The sequence below is a fragment of the Homo sapiens genome, chromosome 6, assembly GCF_000001405.40.
Source record: "Homo sapiens chromosome 6, GRCh38.p14 Primary Assembly".
Taxonomy (NCBI): Eukaryota; Metazoa; Chordata; class Mammalia; order Primates; family Hominidae; genus Homo; species Homo sapiens.
Genome location: NC_000006.12, coordinates 112,967,929 through 112,971,883, shown reverse-complemented (window position 1 = coordinate 112,971,883; position 3,955 = coordinate 112,967,929). Strand labels below are relative to the sequence as shown.

General features: G+C 40.4%; 1 pseudogene, besides 1 other annotated feature; it reads right to left on the bottom strand.

The window, feature by feature from the left end:
• RNU6-1163P (RNA, U6 small nuclear 1163, pseudogene) lies at positions 285 to 391 on the bottom strand (annotated as a pseudogene).
• Positions 2,660 to 2,860: a silencer, noted in NCBI's record as "peak6046 fragment used in MPRA reporter construct". NCBI's record gives its function as "represses an SCP1 promoter by STARR-seq MPRAs in K562 erythroleukemia cells {active_cell/tissue: K562}" and the evidence as "EXISTENCE:reporter gene assay evidence [ECO:0000049][PMID:32103011]".

Here is a 3,955-nt window from a genome sequence, read left to right as displayed (position 1 = left end):
AGGAAAGTTATGTCTTGTTAACTTAAACCCTTTATGTTTATTTAATGTCCTTTTTTTAACCATTGTTGGTTTAAAGTCTGTTTTGTGTGAAATTAGAATAGCAGCTTATGCTTTTTACTGTTTTCCATTCACTTGGCAGATTTTAATCCATCCCCTTACTTTGAGCCTACGGGTCTCTTGAAGAGAGCATAATGTTGGGTCCTGCTTCTTTATTCAGTAGCCATTCTGTGCCTTTTAATTGGGGCATTTAGCCCATTCAATTTCAGGTGAATATTGATATGTGCAGGTTTCAGGAACACTTCACGAATTTGTATGTCATACTTTCACACGGGCCATGGTAATCTTCTCTGTACCATTCCAATTTTAGTACATGTGCTGCCAAAGTGAGCACTACATATTTACTAAGACGGCATTTTAATTATTGGAATTAGAAACCATAGATTAGTGAGAAGAAGAAAAAAGTGGCAGCAATCTCAATTCTCAGAGATAATAATTATTGTCCCATTAGTGTAGTGCCTTCAAACTTTTTAAACTGATTTTTAATGTCACACCTCCCTCCACAAAGTAACAACACATCATGAATATTTTTCCCAGATTCATTAGGGTTTTTAAACTTTATTTATTATTATTATTATTATTATTATTATTATTATTATTATTATTATTATTTTGAGACGGAGTCTCGCTCTGTCACCCAGCCTGGAGTGCAGTGGTGCGGTCTCGGCTCACTGCAAGCTCCGCCTCCCAGGTTCACGCCGTTCTCCTGCCTCAGCCTCCGAGTAGCTGAGACTACTCGGAGTAGTGGTGGCGCCCGCCACCATGCCCGGCTAATTTTTTGTATTTTTAGTGAGACGGGGTTTCACCATGTTAGCCAGGATGGTCTCAGTCTCCTGACCTCGTGATCCGCCCACCTGGGCCTCCCAAAGTGCTGGGATTACAGGCTTGAGCCACCGTACCTGGCCCCTTTTTGAACTTTTAAGTTCAGGGGTACATGTGCAGGATGTGCAGGTTTGTCACATAGGTAAACATGTGTTATGGGAGTTGTTGTCAGTAGGTTTTTTTTCCTGATCCTCTCCCACCTTTCACCCCCCACCTTCTAATAGGCCCCAGTGTGCACTGTTCCCTTCTATGTGTTCATGTGTTCTCATAATTTAGGTCCCACTTATAAGTGAGAACATGCGGTATTGGGTTTACTGTTCCTGTGTTAGCTTGCTAAGGATAACAGCCTGCAGCTCCATCCATGTTCCCACAAAAGGCATAACCTCCTTCTTTTTTTATGGATGCATAGTATTCCATGGTGTATATATACCACATTTTCTTTATCCAGTCTATTACTGATGTGCATTTAGGCTGATTCCATGTCTTTGCTATTGTGAATAGTGCTGCAAAGAACATATGCATGCACATGTCTATATAATAGAATGATTTATATTCCTTTGGGTATATCCCAGTAATGCGATTGCTGGGTCAAATAGTATTTCTGTCTGTAGGTCTTTGGGGAATTGCCACACTGCCTTCCACAATGGTTGAACTAATATACCCTCCCACCAACAGTGTAAAAGCATTTCTTTTTCTATATAACCTGTCAGCAACTGTTACTTTTTGACTTCTTACTGGTGTGAGATGGTATCTCATTGTGGTTTTGATTTGCATTTATCTAATGAATAGCCATGTTGAGCTTTTTTTCATATGATTGTTGGCCACATGTATGTCTTCTTTTGGAAACTGTCTGTTCCTGTACTTTCCCCACTTTTTAATGGAGTGGTTTCTTTTTTCTTGTAAATTTTCTTAAATTTCTTATAGACATTTGATATTAGATCTGTGTCAGATGCATAGTGTAAAATCTTTCCCTTTCTGTAGGTCGGCTGTTTACTCTGTTGATAGTTTCTTTTGCTATGCAGAAGTTCTTTAGTTTAATTAGATCCCACTTGTTAAATTTTGCTTTTGTTGCAATTGTTTTTTTGTCTTAGACAAGAAATTTTTGCCCTTGCCTATATCCTGAATGGCATTGCCTAGGTTTTCCTTTAGATTTTTTATAGTTTGGGGTTTTACATTAAGTGATTAATTCATCTTGAGTTGATTTTTTTGTGTGTGGTGTAAACAAGGGGTCCAGTTTCAATTTTCTGCATATGGCTAGACAGTTCTCCCAGCAAGATTTATTGAATAGGGAATCCTTTCCCCATTGCTTGTTTTTGTCAGGATTGTTGAACCTCAGATAGTTAAAAGTGTGTGGTCTTATTTCTAGGTTCTCTTTTCTGTTACAATGATATATTTGTCTATTCTTCCACAAGTAGCATGCTGTTTTGGTTACTGTAGCCCTATAGTGTAGTTTGAAGTCAGGTGGCATGATGTATCCAGCCTTGTTCTTTCTGCTTAGGATTGCCTTGATGATTTGGGCTTTTTTCTTTTTTTGGTTCTATATGAATTTTAAAAGTTTTTTTCCAGTTCTATGAAGAATGTCAATGGTAGTTTAGTGCAACTATCATTGAATCTATAAATTGCTTTGGACAGTATGGCCATTTTCACGATATTGATTCTTCCTATCTATGAGCACAGAATGCTTTTCCATTTGTTTGTGTCATCTCTGATATTTTTAAGCAGTGGTTTGTATTTCTCCTTGTAGAGGTCCTTCACTTCCCTTGTGATATGGTTTGGCTCTGTGTCTTCATCCAAATCTTATCTCAAATTGTAATCCCCAGGAATTGAGGGAGGGACCTGGTGGGACGTGATTGGATCATGGGGCCAGTTTCCCCCATGCTGTTCTCATGATAGTGAGGTAGTTCTCACAAAATCTGATGGTGTAAAAGTGGCAGTTTCCCCTGAACACTCTCTCTCCCCTGCCAACATGTAAGATGTTCCTTGCTTCCCCTTCACATTCTGCCACTATTGTAAATGTCCTGAGGTCTCCTCAGCCATGCAGAATTGTGAGTCAATTAAACCTCTTTTGTTTATAAATTACTCACTCTCAGGCACTATCTTTATAGCAGTGTAAAAATGGACTAATACAGAGAATTGGTATCAACAGAGTGAGGTAGTCTGTAAAGATAACCTGAAAATGTGGAAGCGACTTTGGAACTGGGTAACAGGCACAGGTTGGAACAGTTTGGAGTGCTCAGAAGAAGACAGGAAGATGTGGGAAATTTTGGAATTTCTAGACTTGTTGAATGGTTTTTAACCAAAATGTTGATAGTGACATGGACAATGGAGCCCAGGCTGAGGTGGCCTCAGAAGGAGATGAGGAACTTACTGGGAACTGGAGTAAAGGTCACTTATGCTATGCTTTAGCAAAGAGACTGGTGGCATTTAGCCCCTGCTCTAGAGATCTGCGGAACTTTGAACTTGAGAGAGATAATTTAGGGTATCTGGCAGAATAAATGTCCAAGTAGCAAAGCATTCAAAATGTGACCTGGCTTATTTTGAAAGCCTTCGGTTATATGTGTTCATAAAGAAATGGTTTGAAATTGGAACTTATGTTTAAAAGGGAAGCAGAGCATAAGGTTAGGAAAATTTGCAGCCTGACCATAAGGTAGAAAAGAAAAACCCATTTACTGGGGAGAAATTAAAGATGGCTGCACAAATTTACATATGTAAGGAGGGGCCAAATGTTAATTGCCAAGACTATGGGGAAAATGTCTCCAGGGCACATCAGAGACCTCCATGGCAGCCCCTCCCACCATCACAGGCCTAGAGGTCTAGGAGGGAAAAATGACCTCATGGGCTGGGCCCAGCATTCTGTTGCTCTGTGTAGCTTCAGGACATGGCACCCTGTGTCCCAACCACTCCAGCTCCAGCCGTGGCTAAAAGGGGCCAAGACACAGCTCAGGCCATTGCTTCAGAGGGTGAAATACCCAAGCTTTGCCACCTTCCATGTGGTGTTGGGCCCACAGGTGCACAGAAGACAAGAGTTAAGCTTTGGAAGCCTCCTCCTAGGTTTCAGAGGTTGTTCAGACATACA